Below are 22894 nucleotides of genomic sequence, written 5' to 3' on the forward strand. Positions count from 1 at the left end.
GTTCAGGCGCGGGTGCGCGCGCAGCTGCTGTGGCCCTGCTTGGTGCGCCCGCTGTCACCGCCATGGCTGCCCCGTGTTTGCTGCGGCAAGGACGAGCCGGGGCGCTGAAGGTAAAGGAGGAGCCAGCCTGGGCTGGCTGCGCGGCCCCGAGCCTACGTAGGGGATGGGGTGAGGGGGCGCGGTGCTGGTCAGGTCCGGGCCTGTCCGCGACCTCTAGCCGTCCTAGTTGGGCCGCTGACCCCGCTCCCTGGGCCCAGGACTGACCGCCACGGGGCCAGGCCCGGATGTGGCCAGCGAGCGTCCCGCGGTTCCCCCGAGCCGGTCCGCCGCCGCCGCTGCCCGAGGCCCAGGCCGAGGCTGGCGTGCCCCGTGCCGACGGGCGCTCCCGAGGGCTGCATGCCTGGGCGGCAGACTCGGGTGGACGTTCCCAGGTGATGCTGCCGCGCGGCTGGGGTCAGCCGCTGTGCGGCTCCCGCACGGCTTCTCTGAAGGACAGTGACTTCTCCATTTAGCCAAGAGAGGAAATGAGGGAACTTTCAGGGACCTGGTTAACTTGGTAACTTACTGACAGCCGTTGAGAAGCCAGCTGACATGACCTGACCTGTGAAAAGGAGAAGAAGGGCTTTCTTTTCGGCAAATAAAAAGCTAAGGCCAAGGCCGGGCGCGGACACTTTGGGATTTTGCCTGTAATCCCAGTACTTTGGAAGGCCGAGCCAGGCGGATCGCTTGAGTTCAGGAGTTCGAGACTAGCCTGGCCAACATGTCGAAACCCCGTCTCTAAAAAATACAAAAAATTAGTCTGGCGTGGTGGTGCATTCCTGTAATCCCAGCTACTCGGGAGGCTGAGGTGGGAGGATCCCATGAACCCGGGACGCGGAGGTTGCAGTGAGCCGAGATCATACCACTGCACTCCAGCCTGGGGGACAGAATAAATAAATAAATAAAATAAGGCTAAGACCACTTCACTCTCTTACAAATTTTAAAATGGCTGTTATTACAAAAGCAGTAACTATTCCCTGCAGAATATATATGCGTGTGTGTATATATATATATAAATACATATTATATATATTATATATAAATATATATTATATATATATTTATATAATATGTAAATATATATTATATATTTATATAATATATAATATATTATATAAATATATATTATATAATATATATAATATGTTTATATAAATATATATTATATATTTATATATTTATATAATATATAATATATATTTATATATTATATATAATATATATCATAATATAATATATAATATATATATATTTTTTTTTGAGACAGAGCCTCACTCTGTTGCCCAGGCCCAGGCTGGAGTGCAATGGCACCATCTCAACTCCCTGCAACTTCTGCCCCCTGGGATTAAGCGACTCTCGTGCCTCAGCCTGCAGAATAATTTAAAAGTACAGATAGGGAAATTCATTGACAGTCTACCATTACTCCTTCAAGCATCTAGTTCCTAACGATTTCTATCAGCTTTTATATGTTCACATAAGCACATGTACTCATGCTTACAATCATGAACATACACGTTTTCATGTTTATATGTGCACATACAGGCACCTCTGTTCTGTATCCAGCATCTAGAACATTGTACTGTCTAGCACTTAATAGGCCTTAGTGAGTATATGCTGAGTGAGTTGGCATAATATAAAATATCACATTTATATTGTAGACACTTTTGAAGCAGTTTTTATATACCTACATCATTTTAGTGGCCAGATAGTATTTCTTCTACTCTATTTTCTAAGGATAAGAAAACATTTTACAGAAAGAAACATAGGGCCTGGCAGGTGGCTCATGCCTGTAATCCCAGTACTTTGGGAGGCCAAGACAGGTGGATCATTTGAGGTCAGGCATTCGAGACCAACATGGTGAAACCCCATCTCTACTAAAAATACAAGAAGAGCCAAGCGCGGTAGCTCACACCTGTAATGCCAGTACTTTGAGAAGCCAAGGTGGGTGGATAACCTGAGGCCAGGAACTCGAGACCAACCTGATCAACATGGTGAAACCCCGTCTCTACTAAATACAAAAACTTGGCCGGGCATGGTGATGCATGCCTGTAATCCCAGCTACTTGGGTGGCTGAGACAGGAGAATTGCTTGAACCCACGAGGCGGAGATTGTAGTGAGCCGAGGTTGCGCCACTGTGCTCCAGCCAGGGTGACAGAGCAAGACTCCATCTCAAAAAACAAAATACAAAAACATTAGCCAGGTGCGGTGGTGCACACCTGTAATTCCAGCTACTTGGGAGGCTGAGGCAAGAGAATCGCTGGAACCCAGGAGGCGGAGGTTGCAGTGAGCCAAGATTGAGCCACTGCACTCCAGCCTGGGAGTCAGAGTGAGACCCTGTCTCCAAAAAAAAAAAAAAGAAAAGAAAAAAGAAGAAACGTGGTATTTTGTAGGTTAATAAATAATTGGAGACTACAAAAAAAATGCACTGGAGAACGTCTGGTTGAAGTTTTATTAAACCAAATATTAATAGTGATTGTCCTTGAACTCGGGTGTTTTCTTCTTGCAGCCTTTTTGTATTTTACAAAATGTCCATAATATACATACATTATGAAAACTGTAATAACCATTAGAAGTATACCATGTGAATGTTTTGCACTTACATGTAGTGGTAATATGTAATATTCATATGCACGGTACCTACATGCACACAATCCCAGCACTTTGGTTGTTTTTCTTTTTTTTTTTTTTTTCCTGAGACAGTCTCACTCTGTTGTCCAGGCTGGAGTGCAGTGGCGTGATCTCAGCTCACTGCAACCTCCACCTCCTGAGTCTAAGCAATTCTCCTGCCTCAGCCTCTGCAGTACCTGGAACTACAGGCATGCACCACCGTGCCTGGCTAAATTTTTTTTTTTTTTTTTTTTTTTGCGACAGAGTCTTGCTCTGTCGCCCAGGCTAGAGTGCAGTGGCACGATCTTGGCTCACTGCAAGCTTCACCTCCTGGGTCCACGCCATTCTCCTGCCTCAGCCTCCCAAGTAGCTGGGACTACAGGCACCCGCCACCATGCCCGGCTAATTTTTTGTATTTTTAGTAGAGACGGGGTTTCACCGTGTTAGCCAGGATAGTCTCGATCTCCTGACCTCATGATCCACACGCCTCGGCCTCCCAAAGTGCTAGGATTACAGTCGCACCGCGCCCGGCCTTTTTTTTGTATTTTTAGTAGAGACGGGGTTGTCCAGGCTGGTCTCAGAACTCCTGACCTCAAGTGATCCGCCCACCTCAGCCTCCCAAAGTGCTGGGATTATAGGTGTAAGCCACCGCACCTGGCCAATCCCAGCACTTCAGGAGGCCGGGGCTTCAGGATCGCTTGAGGCCAGGAGTTTGAGGAAGCCAGGAGTTTGAGACCAACCTGGGCCACGTAGCCAGATCTCGTCTCTATAAAAAATAAAAAATATTAGCCAGGCATGGTAGTATGTGCCTGTAGTCCTGGCTATGTCAGAGTATCGCTTGGACCCAGGAGTTGAAGGCTGCAGTGAGCCATGATTGTGCCACTGCACTCCAGCCTGGACGACTGAGAGAGACCCCTGACTCAAAAAATATATATATATATTCATATATAGTACCAGCTATTATAATGGCATTACTCTAAACATCCATATTCATTAATTCTTTTGTCAGACTATGCTCCAGGAAGCCCAGGTGTTTCGAGGACTTGCTTCTACGGTTTCTTTGTCTGCGGAATCAGGGAAGAGTGAAAAGGGTCAGCCACAGAATTCCAAGAAGCAAAGTCCACCAAAAAGTAAGATTTTGATGGTAGTCATAAGGGAAAGAGAATGCAAAAAGAAAATAGATTAGTCAGCCTTCGAAGCACGACAGTGAGTTTTACTAGCTACGTAATTTATGCTTCTTCCTTTTCAGCAGTGTCCAGATTATACAAGACACAAGATCTATAACAGATTTTAGACCAAACATTTCAGTCATGTCGTAGTCTTTGACTGAATATTTAGCCCTGAAATGGTTTTTCCTGTATTTTCTAAATGCCAAACCCCAACCTGAAGTGAGTGATGCCTTGGTAAAGGCTCTGTGGCATTTAGATGGCCCCGGCACAGTGAGCTTGCCAGAAAGCCACCTTACTTTCCATCCTCTGATGCTGAGTTGTTTGTTTTGTTTTGTTTTGTTTTGTTTTGTTTTGTTTCAGTCTCTTTGAGACCCATCTGTGGTTTTCCAGGCTTTGCTTAATCCCAGTCCAGGACTAGCTGGGACTACAGGCATGTGCCACCACGTCTGGCTAATTTTTTGTATTTTTAGTAGAGACAGGGTTTCACAATGTTAGCCAGGATGGTCTCAATCTCCTGACCTTGTTATCCACCCGCCTCGGCCTCCCAAAGTGTTGGGATTACAGGCGTGAGCCACTGCGCCCGGCCTAAATCTTTAATTCTTTTTTTTGAGATGGAGTCCTGCTCTGTTGCCCCTGCTGGAGTGCAGTGGCGCAATCTCGGCTCACTACAACCTCCGCCTCCTGGGTTCACACCATTCTCCTGCCTCGGCCTCCTGAGTAGCTGGGACTACAGGCGCCCACCACCATGCCCAGCTAATTTTTTACATTTTTAGTAGAGGTGGGGTTTCACCATGTTAGCCGGGATGGTCTTGATCTCCTGACCTTGTGATCCGCCCGCCTTGGCCTCCCAGAGTGCTGGAATTACAGGCGTGAGCCACCGTGCCCAGTCCTAAATCTTTAATCATTATATGGGGTTGTAGAATAGTAATTGAGTTTGGTCTTATTTTCATCAATATACTATTTCCTCAGTTTGAATGTTTGAAAGTATTTAGATTCTTTTGTTTTCTTCCTCCTTGGTCTGTGCACAGAACACTGGTAAGTTTTTAAATATTTGTATTTATACAAAGAGAGTGCCAGCCCCTGACTGCCTCTCACAGTGTGTGGACTTGAGGCTTGGATTCCACGGGAATGTTATTTAGTTTTGTGCTATGACTCCTGCCTCGTTTTTCAATCATTGTTTTTTTCTCTTCTTCCTTTTATGTTATTTGTTTTAAGAGAGGGGCTCTGGCTCTCTCTCCCAGGCTGGAGTGCAGTGGCACAGTCATAGCTCACTACAGCCTCAAACTCCTGAGCTCAAGCAATCCTCCCACCTCAGCCTCCTGAGTAGCTGAGACTACAGGCACATACCACCACTCCTGGCATATCCCTGGCATGTTTTGTTGATGTTGTTGTTTATTTTTTGAAATAGAGTCTTGCTCTGTCACCCAGGCTGTAGTACAGAGGCACAATCATAGGTCACTGCAGCCTCGACCTTCCAAGCTCAAGTGATCCTCCCACCTCAGCCCCTGGAGTAGCCAGGACTACAGGTGCACACCATCACACCCTGGCTAATATTTTAATTTTCCATACAGATGAAGTCTCACTGTATTGCCTAGACTGGTCTTGAATTCCTGGGCTCAAGCAATCTCCCTGCCTCAAACTCCCATAGTATTGGGATTACAGGTGTGAGCCACTGTGTCCAGCCTACCTGGCATGTTTTTGACATTCTCTAAATGTTTACTGATGAACAATTAGTTGAATTTCATTGCTAACATTATCCTCTCCTTTGGTGAATTTTAGTCTGTGTCTGCAATCCTACATCATAGACTTATGAATTTGGATTAAATGGATTTTAAAATATCATGGCAGAGCCAAAGAGCCCCCTTTTTAGATACATGCGTCTGTGTGTGAGTGGAAACGGAGTGCTTCATTCTGTGGCCATCTGGGTTGTGGTTTGGGGAGGGGAACACTGACCTGGGAGCGAGCCTTGGGCTCTCATGGAGCTCCTGCCTCTGTCCTTGACGGGCCCTGCAGGCCTCTGAGCCTCGGTTCCTTTGTGCTTAAGCAGGATGATCATGCCAGCCTTGCTGGGTGGTTGTGAGACTGGCTGCAGTGGGATACACGTAGCTACTGCACACACTGCAGAGAGCTTTCAGGTGGGAGGACAGTTTTCAGAACTAAGCTCATCAATACACAGAACAGTTGTATCTTGTTTTTTTTTGAGACAGAGTTTTGCTCTTTATGCCCAGGCTGGAGTGCAATGGCGTGATCTCAGCTCACCACAACCTCTCCGCCTCCCTGATTCAAGCAATTCTCCTGCCTCAGCCTCCCAAGTAACTGGGATTACAGGCATGCACCACCACGCCTGGCTAATTTTTTGTTTTTTTGTTTTGTTTTTGCGATAAAGTCTCACTCTGTCGCCAGGCTAGAGTGCAGTGGCACGATCTCGGCTCACTGCAACCTCCGCCTCCTGGGTTCAAGCCATTCTCCTGCCCCATCCTCCCGAATAGCTGGGACTACAGGTGCCCGCCACCAAACCCGGCAAATTTTTCTGTTTTTAGTAGAGACGGGGTTTCACCATGTTGGCCAGGTTGGTCTCCATCTCTTGACCTCGTGATCCGTCCGCCTTGGCCTCCCAAAGTGCTGGGATTACAGGCGTGAGCCACTGCACCCAGCCAATTTTTTGTATTTTTTAGTAGAGACAGGGTTTCTGCATGTTGGCCAGGCTGGTTTTGAACTCCCGACCTCAGATGATCCTCCTGCCTCAACCTCCCAAAGTTGCTGGGATTACAGGCATGAGCCACCGCACCTGGCCATGTATCTCATAATTTTTAAAAGAATTCCTGTACAGGCTGGGCGTGGGGGTTCACGCCTATAATCCCAGAACTTTGGGAAGCTGAGGCGGGAGGATCAGTTGAGTTCAGCAGTTTGAGACAAGCCTGAGCAACATAGTGAAAACCTATCTCTAGAAAAAACTTTAAAAAGTAGCTGGGTATGGTAGCGTGCACCTGTGGTCCTAGTTACTCAGGAGGCTGAGACGAGAGGATCATTTGAGCCCAGGAGGTCGAGGTTGTAGTGAATTATGATTGCACCACTGCTGCACTCCATCCTGGGTGATAGAGTGAGACCCTGTCTCGACAAAAATAAATACTGAGTCTGGGTATGGTGGCTCACACCTGTAATCCCAGCACTTTTGCAGGCCAAGGCGGGCCGATCACTTGAGGTCAGGAGTTCGAGAACAGCCTGGCCAATATGGTGAAACCCCTGTCTCTACTAAAAATACAAAAATTAGCTGGGCATGGTGGCGGACGCCTGTAATCCCAGTCGCTCAGGAGGCTGAGGCAGGAGAATCGCTTGGACCCAGGAGGCAGAGGTTGCAATGAGCTGAGATTGTGCCATTGCACTGCTTCTTGGGTGTCACAGCGACACTCCATCTCAAAACAAACAAACAAAAAATCCCTGTACAAAGAAAAATAAATAATGCTTGTAAATGGATACGTGCAGGCCCATATTTTCCCCTGAAGTGTTGGTAGTTGGTAAGTGTAAGATACAGAGGAACTTTTCACCCTCCATGGCACATTGCCAGATCAAACCTTTCTCAGCCAGAAGTGGCTTTGGAAGCTCTAACAGAAGTTTCCTGCATGCAAGTGAGGTACCCAAAGCTCTCATCCTTGGAGTCACATCTCTAGTCAGAGTGTCTGCCACAGGACAAGACCCTGGCGCGATGGGACATGCTGTGCCTTATTTCATCAGAGGTGTCCAGCTTTCCCCAGCACATGCGTTCTCCCTGAGGAAGGCTGCCGGCACAGATATCAGGGGCTGGATGTTCTTGGAGGTGCACCTTGGGGAACCGCTGGGCTCTCTAGCTTGCTGTTTCCTTGAATCCAGTACCCAGGCCTAATTTTGCAACAGTCAGTAATAAATTGTTGACTGAGTAATTTCTGTGTAGCTTTTTGAAGAGTATGTCCAGAAGCCACAGTTAATTATCCATTTGAAGTCCTTGTTTCAGTTTTAAAAGTAAGGAATATCTGGAAATAGAAATTTCACGTAATTTCTATTTACACACAGTGTAAATAGTGGCTCAGTAAAAAAATAGGCACAGTGGCTCACTTCTGTAATCCCAGCACTTTGGGAGGCTGAGGTGGGTGGATCACCTGAGGTCAGGAGTTCGAGACCAGCCTGACCAACATTGTGAAAACCTGTATCTACTAAAAATACAAAAAAAAATTAGCCGGGCGTGGTGGTGCATGCTTGTAGTCCCAGCTACTCGGGAGGCTGAGGCAGGAGAATCACTTGAACCCAGGAGGTGGAGGTTGCAGTGAGCCAAGATCACGCCATTGCACTCTAGCCTGACCCAAAAGAGTGAAACTCCATCTCAAAAAAAAATTACCCAGGCGTGGTGGCACACAACTGTAGTACCAGCTACTCGGGAGGCTGAGGCAGGAAGATCACTTGAGCCCAGGAGGCGGAGGTTTCACTGAGCCGAGATTTGCACCACTGCACTCCAGCCTGGGTGACTGAGCTAGACTCCATCTCAAAAAAAAAAAAAAGAAAACGAAATTTTACGTATCAAATTATAACAAGCAGTGCCAGGCACTGTTCTAAGCACTCTTCCCATATCTCATCTTCCCCAGTCCTCAACAACCCAGGGAGTAGATGCTACTGCTATCCCCATGTCATAGACAAGGAAGTTGAGGTCTGGAGGGACTGACCTGCCTGAGTCATGCAGTGTCCACACAGGTGTCAGCGGAGAAGCCTGGATTTGAACCCAGGCATTCTGGCAGTGCGGTTTATATTTTAATCACTGTGCTGTCTTCCTTCTGAAAATTCTTGATTCTCATGTGTTTATTTAAAAATAAAATGCCGGGCACGGTGGCTCACGCCTGTAATCCCAGCACTTTGGGAGGCCAAGGCGGGCAGATCACCTGAGGTCGGGAGTTCGAGTCCAGCCTGACCAACATGGAGAAACCCTGTCTCTACTAAAAATACAAAATTAGCTGGGTGTGGTGGCGCATGCCTGTAATCCCAGCTATTCGGGAGGCTGAGGCAGCAGAATTGCTTGAACCTGGGAGGCAGAGGTTGCGGTGACTGGAGATCGTGCCATTGCACTCCAGCCTGGGCAACAAGAGTGAAACTCCATTTCAAAAGAAGAATTAGATAAATAAATAAATAAAATAAGTAAAAATAAAAAAAAACTTTTTATAGTGAAACACTTGTAGAGGTTTCCATTACCATATAAAATTTGAGTAACTTTATTCTCTAATGTAATGTTTAAATGCACCTCTGTTTCTGAATGTGCCTTGTTTCCAAAGTTAGTTTTGTGATATTTTGACAAGATGTGCAAGTATTTTAAGGTTGCTAATCTATGTTTCACACCCTAACCCTTTTTACTTTTGATAGGGGGATCACTAAAAACTTGAAGGCCATGCCCTCACTTTTCAACTAAGCAGAAAAGAGATTCAGGAAATTTGAGTTCTATTTTGAGGTGACAGGGAAGCAACAAGGCGAATTCCTGCTTTCACTAATTACTAGTACAGTATTTGTAAACCTTTATTTTACATAGTTTGTTATGGTCTCTGAGAGAAGAGAAACAGTCTCTGAAAGTCCCCATCTCAGGCTGTGAGATAGGCCTACACAGCTAGTCTTAGGTCGGTAGTTTTGTGTTTTATTATACAGTCATCCTTCAGTATCTGAGGGGAATTGGTTCTAGGCCACCCCTCCCACCAGGATTCCAAAATGTGCAGATGCTCAAGTCTCTGATATACAGTGATGCAGTATTTGCATATCATCTAAGTACATCCTCCTGTATACTTTAAATCATCTCTAGATTACTTATAATACCTCATACAATGTAAATGCCATGTAAATAGTTGTTGTATTGTTTAGGGAATAATGTCAAGGAAAAAAGTTTGTTCATGTTCAGTACTAAAGCAGATGATTTTCTGAACATTTTCCATCCTCAGTTGGTTGCTTGGTGGGTTTCTATGGGACCTGTCTTAGGATGATTGCATTGAAGATACTGTCAGTAATAAGTAATGTGTCATGAAATGTCTGTAATTTTGACTGAGTTTTAAGTTGTTTTGTTAAATAACATTCCTCTTTATGCCGTTTCCCAGATGTAGTGGAACCAAAGGAGAGGGGCAAGCTCCTAGCCACCCAGACAGCAGCTGAATTGTCTAAAAACTTATCTTCACCCAGTTCTTACCCGCCAGCTGTGAATAAGGGCAGGAAGGTAGCTAGTCCCAGTCCCAGTGGCAGCGTGCTATTCACAGATGAAGGGGTTCCGAAATTTTTGTCAAGAAAGACTTTGGTAGAGTTTCCACAGAAAGTTCTGTCTCCATTCAGAAAACAGGGCTCTGATTCAGAAGCTCGTCAGGTGGGTCGGAAAGTGACGTCGCCTTCGTCTTCATCCTCTTCCAGCTCCTCTGATTCTGAATCTGATGATGAGGCTGACGTTTCAGAGGTCACTCCTCGAGTGGTGAGCAAAGGCAGAGGGGGGCTTCGAAAACCAGAGGCCTCTCATTCCTTTGAAAACAGAGCCCCCCGAGTTACAGTATCAGCAAAAGAGAAAACCTTGCTGCAGAAGCCGCATGTGGACATTACTGATCCAGAGAAGCCCCACCAGCCAAAGAAGAAAGGGTCCCCTGCTAAGCCATCAGAAGGCAGGGAAAATGCGAGACCAAAAACCACAATGCCCAGATCTCAAGTAGATGAAGAGTTTTTGAAGCAAAGTTTAAAGGAAAAACAATTGCAGAAAACATTTAGATTAAATGAAATAGATAAAGAAAGCCAAAAGCCATTTGAAGTTAAAGGACCCTTACCTGTCCACACAAAATCAGGGTTGTCTGCGCCACCGAAGGGCAGCCCAGCGCCTGCTGTGTTGGCAGAAGAGGCCAGAGCAGAGGGGCAGCTGCAAGCCAGTCCTCCTGGGGCGGCAGAGGGGCATCTGGAAAAACCCGTGCCAGAGCCCCAGCGCAAGGCGGCCCCTCCCCTGCCCAGAAAGGAAACCTCAGGGACGCAGGGAATAGAAGGCCACCTGAAGGGTGGACAGGCAATCGTGGAAGATCAGATACCACCAAGCAATTTGGAGACAGTTCCTGTTGAGAATAACCACGGTTTCCATGAAAAGACAGCAGCGCTGAAGCTTGAGGCCGAGGGCGAGGCCATGGAAGATGCAGCCGCGCCAGGGGACGACCGAGGCGGCACACAGGGTATACCTTGACTCGCGCTCCCAAGTGCACCCTGTCCCTTAGGGTAGTGAGGCAAAAGAACTAATTTACATATGCTTGTAGAGCAGTGTTACAATTAGTCAAATTCTGTACTAGAAATATGGCCTGTAACGCTGTCTCAGCCAGGCAGAAAAGTATGTCTTAATTATGGACAATCCACATCTTTATATTTAGAATCCCTAAAATATTTAACGTTCTTTTTTTTTTTTTTTTTTGAGATGGTGTCTTGCTCTGTTGCCCAGGTAGAGTGCAGTGGCGCGATCTCTGCTCACTACAACTTCCATCTCAAGCACTTCCCCTGCCTCAGCCTCCCAAGTAGCTGAGATTACAGGCGCAGGCCACCACACCTGGCTAATTTTTTTTGTATTTTTAGTAGAGATGGGGTTTCACCGTGTTGGCCAGGCTGGCCTCGAACTCCTGACCTCAGGCAATTCACCCGCCTCGGCCTCCCAAAGTGCTGGGATTACAGGCATGAGCAACCCCACCCTGCTTAACCTTCATCTTTTTTTTTTTTTGAGACAGAGTCTTGCTCCATCTCCAGGCTGGAGTGTAATGGTGCAATCTTGGCTCACTGCAACCTCTGCCTCCCAGGTTCAAGCCATTCTCCTGCCTCAGCCTCCTGAGTAGCTGGGATTACAGTCCCCCACCACCATGTCCAGCTAATTTTTGTATTTTTAGTAGAGACGGGGTTTCACCATGTTGGCCAGGATGGTCTCAATCTCCTGACCTCATGATCAGCCTGCCTCGGCCTCCCAAAGTGCTGGGATTACAGGCCTGAGCCACCGTGCCCGGCCCCCAACCTTCATCTTAAAGAGTATGTCCTTGGCACTCTTCACTATTTCTTAACCGGTATAATTTTTGAAAACTGGCAGCTTAACATTGTCACCACTGACTTTTGAAGGTGTCCAAGTGTTCATTGATGACCTTGTGGGGCATCTCGCTAAGTGAAAAGGGGAGCCTCCGGTTTAACTTGCATAGGTGAAGAGCAGTAGCTAGTCGCTTGGCGTGAGAGTCTTTGGGTAAACTAGATGATTGCTTTCAGCATCCTGTGCACAGGGCAGATTCATAGTTCAGGAATTAAAGCAGTAAGTGTTGTACAGGTCAGCCGCTGCATACGCATCCTTTCCCCTGGACAGCGTTTCCTTCTCTGGTTAACTGAAAACACATGTGGGCTGCTTTACTCTTCTAGAAGACATTTTATGAAGGGTTTTTTGTTTGTTTGTTTGTTTGTTTGTTTTTGACATGGGTTTTGCTCTTGTTGCCCAGGCTGGAGTACAATGGCGCAATCTTGGCTCACTGTAACCTCCGCCTCCTGGGTTCAAGTGATTCTCCAGCCTCAGCCTCCAAAGTAGCTGGGATTACAGGCGTGTGGCACCACCCCCGGCTAATTTTTGTATTTTTAGTAGAGACAGGGTTTTACCATGTAGGCCAGGCTGGTCTCGAACTCCTGACCTTAGGTGATCCACCTGCCTCGGCCTCCCAAAGTGCTGGGATTACAGGCATGAGCCACCGTGCCTAGCGTGTGGAGGCTTTTAAAGGGCAACAGTATTTATTCCTATGATGTTACCATTTTTTTTTTTTTTTTTGGAGATGGAATCTCACTCTGTCACCCAGGCTGCAGTACAGTGGCGCAATCTTGGCTCACTGCCGGCTCCACCTCCCACGTACAAACGATTCTCCTGCCTCAGCCTCCTGAGTAGGTGCCACTACAGGTGCCTGCCACCACGCCTGGCTAATTATTGTATTTTTAGTAGAGACAGCGTTTTGCCATGTTGGTCAGGTTGGTCTCGAACTCCTGACCGCGGGTGATCCACCTGCCTCTGCCTCCCAAAGTGCTGGGATTTCAGGCGTGAGCCACTGCGCCCAGCTATGTTACCATTTTCTTGAGCACGAAACTTGATAAGATGCAATGCGCTTTAGGTGGGTCGTGGCAAACATGAAAAGGCAAGCTTCCGTTTTAGAATCCATGGCTCTTCTTGAAGACTTCTCTAAAGTGCATGATCCCTAACAAGCGCGGCTCCGTCCTGTGTCTGCTCTCCATCCTCTGTACCGCCGCCCCTTGCCTTATGTGCCTTACATGACGCCTTCTTGTTCTTGGTTCGTTGTGCGACAGGATCTATGTGTTTTCCCCCCTCTCCGTCTGCTCTTTGATCAGTACGCCAAGTGCCGGTGCTTGCCAGACTTCCCAGCCCTTAGGAACTGCATTTCCTGATGCTGCTGCTTTCACTCCTCCTGCTCGAAAATGGAGACGAATAACACAACTCGCAGGATAAAAACAGAATTGGGAGTTTTCAGACTGCAAACCTTTCTGAAGAGAAAGTTCTAATATTTCACGGGTGTGTTGTTTCTTAACTATCTTCTGTGCGCATGCGCAGAGCCCACCTTGCAGAGCCGTGTCTGTATGGGGCCGCGGTCTCACTAGGCAGTCCGTGCCCCAGTACTGGCCTTCCAGGTAGAGTGGTTTTAGATCAGAGTTTTGTAACCCACGTCTTGGTCAGTTATCACCCTCCCTATAGTAACTAAAATAGTACGTTCTGCTTTGAAGGTGTCCCTACACCACACCGAAGATACTCACCTTGTGGAGATTGGAAGGATGCCAGCTCTTTAAATGAGACATCGTTTTTGCTTAACGTAACTTAAAAATGAAAAACAGAGCTTTTGATATTAATTGAAATAGTGAGAAAATAAATGTATTTAGGTTATTTTTTTGTGGAGCATGAATGGAAGTTAAGACAGACCTAATGACCTGATTTACAGAAATTGAGTCAGTACAAATCTTAACCCAAATATCAGCCTGTGTTCCCGTGCTGGTTTTGATTTTGCCATTATGTTATATTGTGTGTCCTGCTGCAGGAGACCAGTACTTCTTTTGCCTCAACCCCTACTTGTAGTTTCGAATTACCAAATGTTTAAATGCTGTGTTGTTGTTATTAGAATTTATCTAATTTTCTTGTATCAGAGATTCAGAAGGCTCCTTTAGTTTAAGCTTTTCAAAAAAAATTTTTTATTTGACAGACGTGCTCTGTCCCACAGGCTGGAGTGCAGTGATGTGATCTCAGCTCACTGCAACCTCCACCTCCCAGTCTCAAGCAATCCTCCCACCTCAGCCTCCTGAGTAGCTGGAGACTACAGGTGTGCCACCATGCCCTACTAATTTTTTTTTTTTTTTTTTTTTGAGACAGAGTCTAACTTTGTCACCAGGCTGGAGTGCAGTGATGCAGTCTCAGGTCATTGCAATCTCTGCCTCCTGGGTTCAAGCAATTCTTGTGCCTCAGCCTCCTGACATAGCTGGGATTACAGGAGTATGCCACCACACCTGCTAACTTTTGTAACTTTAGTGGAGACAGGGTTTCACCTTGTTGGCCAGGCTGCTCTCAAACTCCTGGCCTCAAGCAATCTGCCCGCCTCAGCCTCTCAAAGTGCTAGGATTACAGGTGTGAGCCACTGCTACTGGCCCCTGCTAATTTTTTATTCTTTGTAGAGACAGAGTCTCACTATTTTGCCCAGAATGATCTAGAACTCCTGAGCTCAAGCAATCCTCCCACCTCGGCCTCCCAAAGTGCTGGGATTATGGGCGTAAGCCACCATGCCCAGCCCAGATTTCTAATAGAGGTAGATTTTATCATGCATCTCTAAGTTACCTGAAAGTCCTGCTATAATTGTTCTAGGCATTTTCAAACTTTTGAGAAGCCTAGAAGTATACAAACTAAGATGTTAAGACACGTTGTATGGCCTGGCATGGTGGCTCACGCCTGTAATCCCAGCACTTTGGGAGGTCGAGGCGGGCAGATCACTTGAGCTCAGGAAATCGAAACCACCCTGGCCAACATGGTGAAACCCCGTCTCTACTAAAAATACAAAAATTAGCCAGGCGTGGTGGCAGACGCCTGTAATCCCAGCTACTTGGGAGACTGAGGCAGGAGAATCACTTGAAGCTGGGAGGTGGAGGTTTGCAGTGAGCTGAGATCGCACCGCTGCACTCCAGCCTAGACAACAGAGTGAGACTCCATCTCAAAAAAAAAAACGCATTGTAATAACTATTCCATTTCTTAAATTGGAAGGCTGTATGTTTTAGAATAAACTTCCAAGTAATATCTTTCTTTTTCTTTACTGTGGCTTTTGTAGGCTTTTCTTTTTTAATTAGACAATTTGTTCCTCACAGATAGGGTTGATGAAGAACGCTTGGTAGGTAAGCACCTGTGTGTGAGCCGAGTCATTCATAAAGAACTGTTCACAGATAGGTTGATGAAGAATGCTTGGTAGGTAAGCGCCTGTGTGTGAGCCGAGTCATTCATAAAGAGCTGTTCACAGATAGGGTTGATGAAGAATGCTTGGTAGGTAAGCACCTGTGTGTGAGCCGAGTCATTCATAAAGAGCTGTTCACAGATAGGGTTGATGAAGAATGCTTGGTAGGTAAGCGCCTGTATGTGAGCCAAGTCATTCATAAAGAGCTGTTCACAGATAGGGATGATGAAGAATGCTTGGTAGGTAAGCGCCTGTGTGTGAGCCGAGTCATTCATAAAGAGCTGTCCTTGTGTTGGTCTCATGGGCATCGTGTTTCCTCCGCAGAGCCAGCCCCAGTGCCTGCTGAGCCGTTTGACAACACTACCTACAAGAACCTGCAGCATCATGACTACAGCACGTACACCTTCTTAGACCTCAACCTCGAACTCTCAAAATTCAGGATGCCTCAGCCCTCCTCAGGCCGGGAGTCACCTCGACACTGAGGGCCCTCGGTGTGAAGATGAACCTTCCACCGTCTTCACTGCATCCTGGAGTGCAAAAATAAAATCCACTCAAGAGTCACAAGGCCCGCTGTGCATAATCGGTTTCACTTTTACCTTTTTTTTTTTTTTTTTTTTTTTGAGACAGGGTCTCACTCTGTCACCCAGGCTGGAGTGCAGTGGCACATTCTCGGCTCACTGCAACTTCCGCCTCCTGGGTTCAAGTGATTCTCCCACCTCAGCCTCCCAAGTAGGTGGGATTACAGGTACTCACCACCAGGTCCAGCTAACTTTTGTATTTTTAGTAGAGACAGGGTTTCACCATGTTGGCCAGGCTGGTCTCGAACTCCTGACCTCAGATGGTCTGCCCACCTCCGCCTCCCAAAGTGCTGGGATTACAGGCGTGAGCCACTGCGCCCGGCCACTTTCACACTTTTTACAGTGAGTGGTGAATTAGCAACAGTAACACTGATTATCCAACATATATTTTGGAATATCTACTATGTGCAAGGAATTTTTCTTAAACTCTAAGGTTATGAATCACTGGGCAAATCCATATAATTAGAGAATTTTAAGTGCTTTAGAGCGGTGTGATTCTACTGTGCTCAGCCTAGTCAATTTCGCATTAAACTGATTATCAGCTGAGTATCAATAATGTAATAGTGACTTCTTTTATTTTTTTTGAGATGGAGTCTCTGTTTCCCAGGCTGGAGTCCAGCGGCACAATCTAAACTCACTGCAACCTCCGCCTCCTGGGTTCAAGTGATTCTCCTGCCTTACTTAGCCTCTTGAGTAGCTGGTACTACAGGCTCACGCCACCATGCCTGGCTAATTTTTTTTGTATTTTTAGTAGAGATGGGGTTTCACCATCTTGGCCAGGCTGGTCTTAAACTCCTGACCTCATGATCTACCTGCCTCAGCCTCCCAAAATGCTGGCATTATAGGCGTGAGCCACTGCACCCAGCCAGTAATAGTGACTTCTAATCCTACAGCCCTGGTTTTTGATCATTAGAAACAGGAGTTTTGGCCAGGTGCAGTGGATAATTCCTGTAATCCCAGCGCTTTGGGAGGGCGAGGCGGGTGGAGCACCTGAGGTCAGGAGTTGAGACCGGCCTGGCCAACATAGTGAAACCCCATCTCTACTAAAAATACAAAAATCAGCCAGGCATGCTAGTGGGTACCTGTAATCCCAGCTACTCAGGAAGCTGAGGCAGGAGAATCATTTGAACCTGGGAGGCGGAGGTTGCAGTGAGCAAGATCGTGCCATTGTACTCCAGCCTGGGCAACAGGAGTGAAACTCAATCAAAAAAAAGGAACAGGAATGTTACTAATTTTAACTACTGCATTGCAAACAAATTGTATTGCAGTATTTTACCATCAGAAAAGGAAGGGAATTGTTTTGTTTGCCTCTGTTAGATATTTTATATAAACTTGAGGACATTTTCATTGGTGAGATTCGGAAGAGGTGAAGTTTCTTGCAGTACAGGGACGAAGTAGGAAGAGGTGAAGTTTCGTGCAGTACAGGGACGGAGTAGGAAGAGGTGAAGTTTCGTGCAGTACAGGGACGGAGTAGGAAGAGGTGAAGTTTCGTGCGGTGCAGGGACGGAGTAGGAAGAGGTGAAGTTTCGTGCGGTGCAGGGACGGAGTAGGAAGAGGTGAAGTTTCGTGCGGTGCAGGGACGGAGTAGGAAGAGGTGAAGTTTTGTGCGGTGCAGGGACGAAGTTGCTCCCCGCTGGCCACAGGCACTCAATGAGCTATTTTACCTATTTAGGGTTTCTGGGTTGGCCAAGTAACCTCCCATCCCTTGTGATAGATAACTTTAAGTCACACCTTTGGGGGCAATGTGGGGGGCTCCTGTGCATCACATGGAGCACGCTCCCCCAGCACTCTGCAGAGACAGACCCCCAGTCTGACTTAGAGAAAGTAACCAATGTAGGTGAGGGCCAGGGCACGGTGGCTTACGCCTGTAATCCCAGCACTTTGGGAAGCCAAGGCGGATGGATCACTTGAGGTCAGGAGTTTGAGACCAGCCTGGCCAACATGGTGAAACCCTGTGTCTACTAAAAATACAAAAATTAGCCAACTGTGGTGGTGCGTGCCTGTAATCCCAGCTATTCAAGAGGCTGAGGCAGGAGAATCGCTTGAACCCGGGAGGCGGGGTTTGCAGTAAGCCGAGATCATGCCATTGCATTCAGTCTGGGTGACAGCGTGAGACTGCATCTCAAAAAAAAATTTTTTTTTTTAAATATCAAAATTGAAAACTAGTATTGTGGTCATCTGCCTCAAATTGTGTTACCACACGGGAGACTTAGCAACTCAGCCAGATTCTTCTAAACACATTTTTTATAATAAAAGTGGTAAAACTACATTACCAAAAAGAAAATAGTAAACTTACCTAAAATCCACTATGCTAACCCACCCTTTTTTTTTTTTTTTTTTTTTTTTTTTTTTTGAGACAGCCTCACTCTTGCCCGGAGGAGTGGTGCGATCTCAGCTCACTGCAGCCTCGTCCTCCCAGGCCCAAGCAATCCTCCCATCTCAGCCCACTTTGTAGCTGGGACTGTAGGCACTGGCCACCATGTCCGCCTAATTTTTCTATTTTTTGTAGAGACAGGGTTCAAGAGATCTGCCTGCCTCGGCCCCAGAAAGTTCTGGGATTGCAGGCGTGAGCCCCCATTCCCAGCCATTAACATCTTACAGGATTCCCCAGTGGTGGTGGTAGGTGTAACCATTTTAATGTACCTACAACTTTTCTATCCTGCTATTTGCATTTTTTGGTTTTTCATTTAATAGTTCTCAAGCTGGGATCCGTGGAACTACTGTGATGGGCGGTGATGCTTTGGAAATGGAAATTCCCTTAATATTAAAATGAACATGAATATATTTTGATTTGCATATATTTTTAAGATAAAGCATGAGACTTGTATAAAGTTCTTTCCTGGCTGGGCGCGGTGGCTCATGCCTGTAATCCCTGCACTTTGGAAGGCTGAGGCAGATGGATCACCTGAGGTTGGGAGTTTGAGACCAGCCTGACTAACATGGTGAAACCCCCTCTCTACTAAAATTACAAAATTAGCCGGGCGTGTTGGTGCATGCCTGTAATCCCAGCTACTCAAGAGGCTGAGGCAGGAAAATCACTTGAACCCAGGAGGCAGAGGCTGCAGTGAGTGGAGATTGCAGCATCGCACTACAGCCTGGGCAACAACAGCAAAACTCCGTCTCAAAAAAATAAAGTTCTTCCCTTAGAACTAGTCCTGTTGGGCTAGTCTTTCTGGGATTTTGGTTTACTCTCCTCCACCCATTGGAAGGGCTTAAAACCGAATAGCCAGCACCAAGCACAGCTCTGCATTTTGTAGCTATCACTGCAGATGATTTCTTGATAGTCCATCTGGTGGCAATACAGTGGTCACCCAAGGGGCCATTGTTTGGGTCTATGTGATTTCCCACGTTCTGTTGGAGGCCGGGCGCAGTGCCTCACGCCTGTAATCCCAGCACTTTGGGAGGCTGAGGTGGGCAGATCACGAGGTCAGGAGATCGAGACCGTCCTGGCTAACACGGTGAAACCCTGTCTCTACTAAAAATACAAAAAATTGGCCAGGTGCGGTGGCTCACGCCTGTAATCCCAGCACTTTGGGAGGCTGAGGTGGGCAGATCTCGAGGTCAGGAGATCGAGACCATCCTGGATAACACGGTGAAACCCCGTCTCTATTAAAAATACAAAAAATTAGCCGGGCATGGTAGCGGGCGCCTGTAGTCCCAGCTACTTGGGAGGCTGAGGCAGGAGAATGGCGTGAACCCAGGAGGCGGAGCTTGCAGTGAACCGAGATAGCCTCACTGCACTCCAGCCTGGGCGAAAGAGCAAGACTCCGTCTCAAAAAAAAAAAACAAAAAAAAAATTAGCCGGGCGTGGTGGTGGGCGCCTGTAGTCCCAGCTACTCGGGAGGCTGAGACAGGAGAATGATGTGAACCCGGGAGGCAGAGCTTGCAGTGAGCCGAGATTGTGCCACTGCACTCCAGCCTGGGCGACAGAGCAAGACTCCGTCTCAAAAAATAAATTAATTAATTAAATTAAATAAGTGGGTGTTTTAAGTGCTCAGCTTCCTTGGTTCTACCACCTTCTCTCCCTGACCCTCCTTCCCTTTCCCCCTGACCTTGGCCTTTATTCTAGAACGGATCTGAAGCAATAGGATATAAAAAATTCACAACTGCTAAAACAGTGTTCCTTCTAGTGTAATTTTCACCCTTAGAGACCTGTCTGTAATAAACATTATTTGAAATGCCTACTATATGCTAGGCACTATGCCTCGGCCACGGGTTCAGACGTGATCGAGACAGCCTGCCTTCTCTGAGTGTATGGCCTGGGAAAGGGGGCAGCTGAGAGACAGATGCATGGCGATGTGCCGGATAACAGACGTAGAAGGCAGAGGCAGGGGAGCTGTCTGGGGAGAGGCAAAGATGGGGATTCATCAGAGAAGGCTTTGAAGGACATGATGCCTAACCTGGATGTCGAAAGGGATTTTGCCAGGAGCACAGGGCACTGGTGGAGGGAGCCCTGCGGGGCAGTCCTCAAGGCCTCCGGATGGGTGTGAGAGGCACCGGGGCTGAAGCAGCATCTGGGTTTGAGGAAGCCACAGCCCCTTGGCTCTCCACTGCAGTCTCAGAGCAGCCTCAGGCTGAGTAAGTGGCTGAGGCCAATCCTTTAGGAAACGGCACCACGCCTGGCTAATTTTTGTGTTTATACTAGAGTCAGGATTTCACCATTTTGGTCAGGCTGGTCTCAAATTCCTGGCTTCAAGCTATCTCTCCCCCTCAGCCTCCCAAAGTGCAGGGATTACAGCAGGAGCCACCGTGCTGGCCCATATATGCCATCTTTCAACTGCCTGTATTCAGAGACTCTCACCTCCTCAAGCCCTTCGTGGGAGGAAAACTAGACAGTGAAATCCAGCCAAACAAGAGATGAACTAACATTAAAAATTCAAAAATTGGGCCAGGCACGGTGGCTCATGTTTGTAATCCCAGCACTTTGGGAAGCCGAGACAGGTGGATCACCTGAGGTCAGGAGTTTCAGACCAGCCTGGCCAACATGGCGAAACCTCGTCTCTACTAAAAATACAAAAATTAGCTGGGCATGATGGCGGGCGCCTGTAATCCCAGCTACTTGGGAGGCTATGGCAGTAAAATCGCTTGAACCTGGGAGGCAGAAGTTGCAGTGAGCCAAGACCACGCCCTTGCACTCCAGCCTGGGCAACAAGAGCGAAAGTCATCTCAAAAAAAAAAAAAAGAAAAAAATCAAGAATTGAAGGCCACAGTAGTACTGGGGGAGACCTTAGAACCTATTTGCCTGTGAATTAAGGCTAAACAACTATGGAGATTACAAGACAGAATGAGAGTGTTATAAACCCTAACAAGTAAACAGAAGATAAACCAAGAACCTGGAGGACACAAATAGGAACTTGGGAGGTAGCCCAGGAGAACTCCTCAGCTCATCCTTCAGAGCAAATGAGTCAGTACTGTGCGGAATAGACACTTGGCAGGATGGAGATGAGAAATGTAAAATAGAAACTTGGAGGCCGGACGTGGTGGCTTACACCAGTAATCCCAGCACTGTGGGAGGCCGAAGTGGGCAGATCACCTGCGGTTAGAAGTTCGAGACCAGCCTGGCCAACATGGTGAAACCCCATCTCTACTAAAAACCCAAAAATTAGCCAGGCATCATAGCGCTGGCCTATAATCTCAGTTACCTGGGAGACTGCGGCAGGAGAATTGCTTGAACCTGGGAGGCGGAGGTTGCGGTGAGCCAAGATCATGCCACTGTACTCCAGCCTGGGCAACAGAGTAAGACTCCATCTCTAAATAAATAAATAAAATAAAATAAAAAGCAACTCTTGGCCAGGCACATTGGCTCATGCCTGGAATCGCAGCACTTTGGGAGGCTGACATGGGAGGGTCACGAGCTCAGATGTTCGAGACCCGCCTGGGCAACATAGTGAGACCCTGTCTCAAAATAAATAAATAAATAAAAATAAAGAAGCAACTCTTTTAGCATTATAAGATAGGGCAGAGGAAAAAAAGAAAAAAGAAACAACTCTTCTTACCAAAAAAGGTTGAAAATATCCCTTCTGTTGTCCCCGCCCACAATGTCTTAAACCTAGCAGGTGCTGACCTAAAGGAAGAAGCAGGGGTGGCCAGGCGCGGGGGCTCACGCCTGTCATTCCAGCACTTTAGGAGGCCGGGCGCAGTGGCTCACGCCTGGAATCCCAGCACTTCGGTAGGCCGAGGCGGGCAGATCACAAGGTCAGGAGATCGAGGCCATCCTGGCTAACACGGTGAAACCCTGTCTCTACTAAAAATAGAAAACATTAGCTGGGCATGGTGGCAGATACCTGTAGTCCCGGCTACTCAGGAGGCTGAGGCAGGAGAATGGCATGAACCTGGGAGGTGGAGCTTGCAGTGAGCCGAGATCACATCACTGCATTCCAGCCTGGGCAACAGAGCGAGACTCTGTCTCAAAAACAGAAAACAGAAGCAGGAGCAAAACTCGTGCAAGTGGAGATTCTCTGGGCCAAGTTTATGGACTGCAAGCCAGGAGCACTGACTCAAATGGCCCCGAATATCCATGCTGTGATTAGCTGCAGTTACAAGTGGCATTTTGTTGTTTTGTTTTTGTTTTTTTGAGAAGGGGTCTCACTCTGTCCCGGCTGGAGCTCAGTGATATTTTGTTGTTTTTCTTTTTTTGAGAAGGGGTCTCAGTCTGTCACCCAGGATGGAGTGCAGTGGCTCGATCTCGTCTCATTGCAAGCTCCGCCTCCTGGGTTCAGGCGATTCTCCCACCTCAGCCTCCAGAGTAGCTAGGACTTCAGGCGTGCACCACTATGCCCAGCTTTTTAAAAAATTTTTTGTAGAGATGGGGTTTCACCATGTTACCCAGGCTGCTCTCGAACTCCTGGACTCAAGCAATCTGCCTGCCTCAGACTCCCAAAGTGCTGGGATTACAAGCGTGATCCACTACTCCAGGCCTAAAAGTGGGTTTGGTTTAGTTTGTTTGTTTTTTTTGAGACAGAGTCTCGCTCTGTGGCACAGGTTGGAGCGCAGTGGCTCGATCTCGGCTCACTGCAACCTCCGCCTCCCTGGGTGTTTTGTATTCTTA

At 47.2% G+C, this 22894-nt stretch overlaps 1 protein-coding gene across 4 annotated transcripts, besides 3 other annotated features; it reads left to right on the forward strand.

Annotated features, from left to right (window-relative positions):
* On the forward strand, positions 38-20028 carry NDUFV3 (NADH:ubiquinone oxidoreductase subunit V3). Of its 4 annotated transcripts, XM_011529586.3 has the most exons (5): positions 38-110; positions 3656-3776; positions 9911-11005; positions 13569-13631; positions 15593-20028. In XM_011529586.3, exons 1-5 carry the CDS (start codon positions 63-65, stop codon positions 15748-15750), a joined length of 1485 nt encoding a protein of 494 aa, XP_011527888.1. In that variant the 5' UTR covers positions 38-62; the 3' UTR covers positions 15751-20028. The 4 variants fall into 4 exon arrangements, with proteins under 4 accessions (XP_011527888.1, NP_066553.3, XP_016883848.1 ...); NM_021075.4 differs by lacking the exon at positions 13569-13631; XM_017028359.2 differs by lacking the exon at positions 9911-11005.
* Positions 165-414: a silencer, noted in NCBI's record as "silent region_13354". NCBI's record gives its function as "represses an Ori minimal core promoter by ATAC-STARR-seq in GM12878 lymphoblastoid cells {active_cell/tissue: GM12878}" and the evidence as "EXISTENCE:reporter gene assay evidence [ECO:0000049][PMID:35858748]".
* Positions 21493-22000: an enhancer, noted in NCBI's record as "H3K4me1 hESC enhancer chr21:44334874-44335381 (GRCh37/hg19 assembly coordinates)". NCBI's record gives its function as "activates a minimal SCP1, AML or CMV promoter by ChIP-STARR-seq in primed H9 embryonic stem cells {active_cell/tissue: H9 hESC(primed)}" and the evidence as "EXISTENCE:reporter gene assay evidence [ECO:0000049][PMID:30033119]".
* Positions 22001-22507: an enhancer, noted in NCBI's record as "H3K4me1 hESC enhancer chr21:44335382-44335888 (GRCh37/hg19 assembly coordinates)". NCBI's record gives its function as "activates a minimal SCP1, AML or CMV promoter by ChIP-STARR-seq in primed H9 embryonic stem cells {active_cell/tissue: H9 hESC(primed)}" and the evidence as "EXISTENCE:reporter gene assay evidence [ECO:0000049][PMID:30033119]".

This window comes from Homo sapiens, chromosome 21 (assembly GCF_000001405.40).
Source record: "Homo sapiens chromosome 21, GRCh38.p14 Primary Assembly".
NCBI lineage: Eukaryota > Metazoa > Chordata > Mammalia > Primates > Hominidae > Homo > Homo sapiens.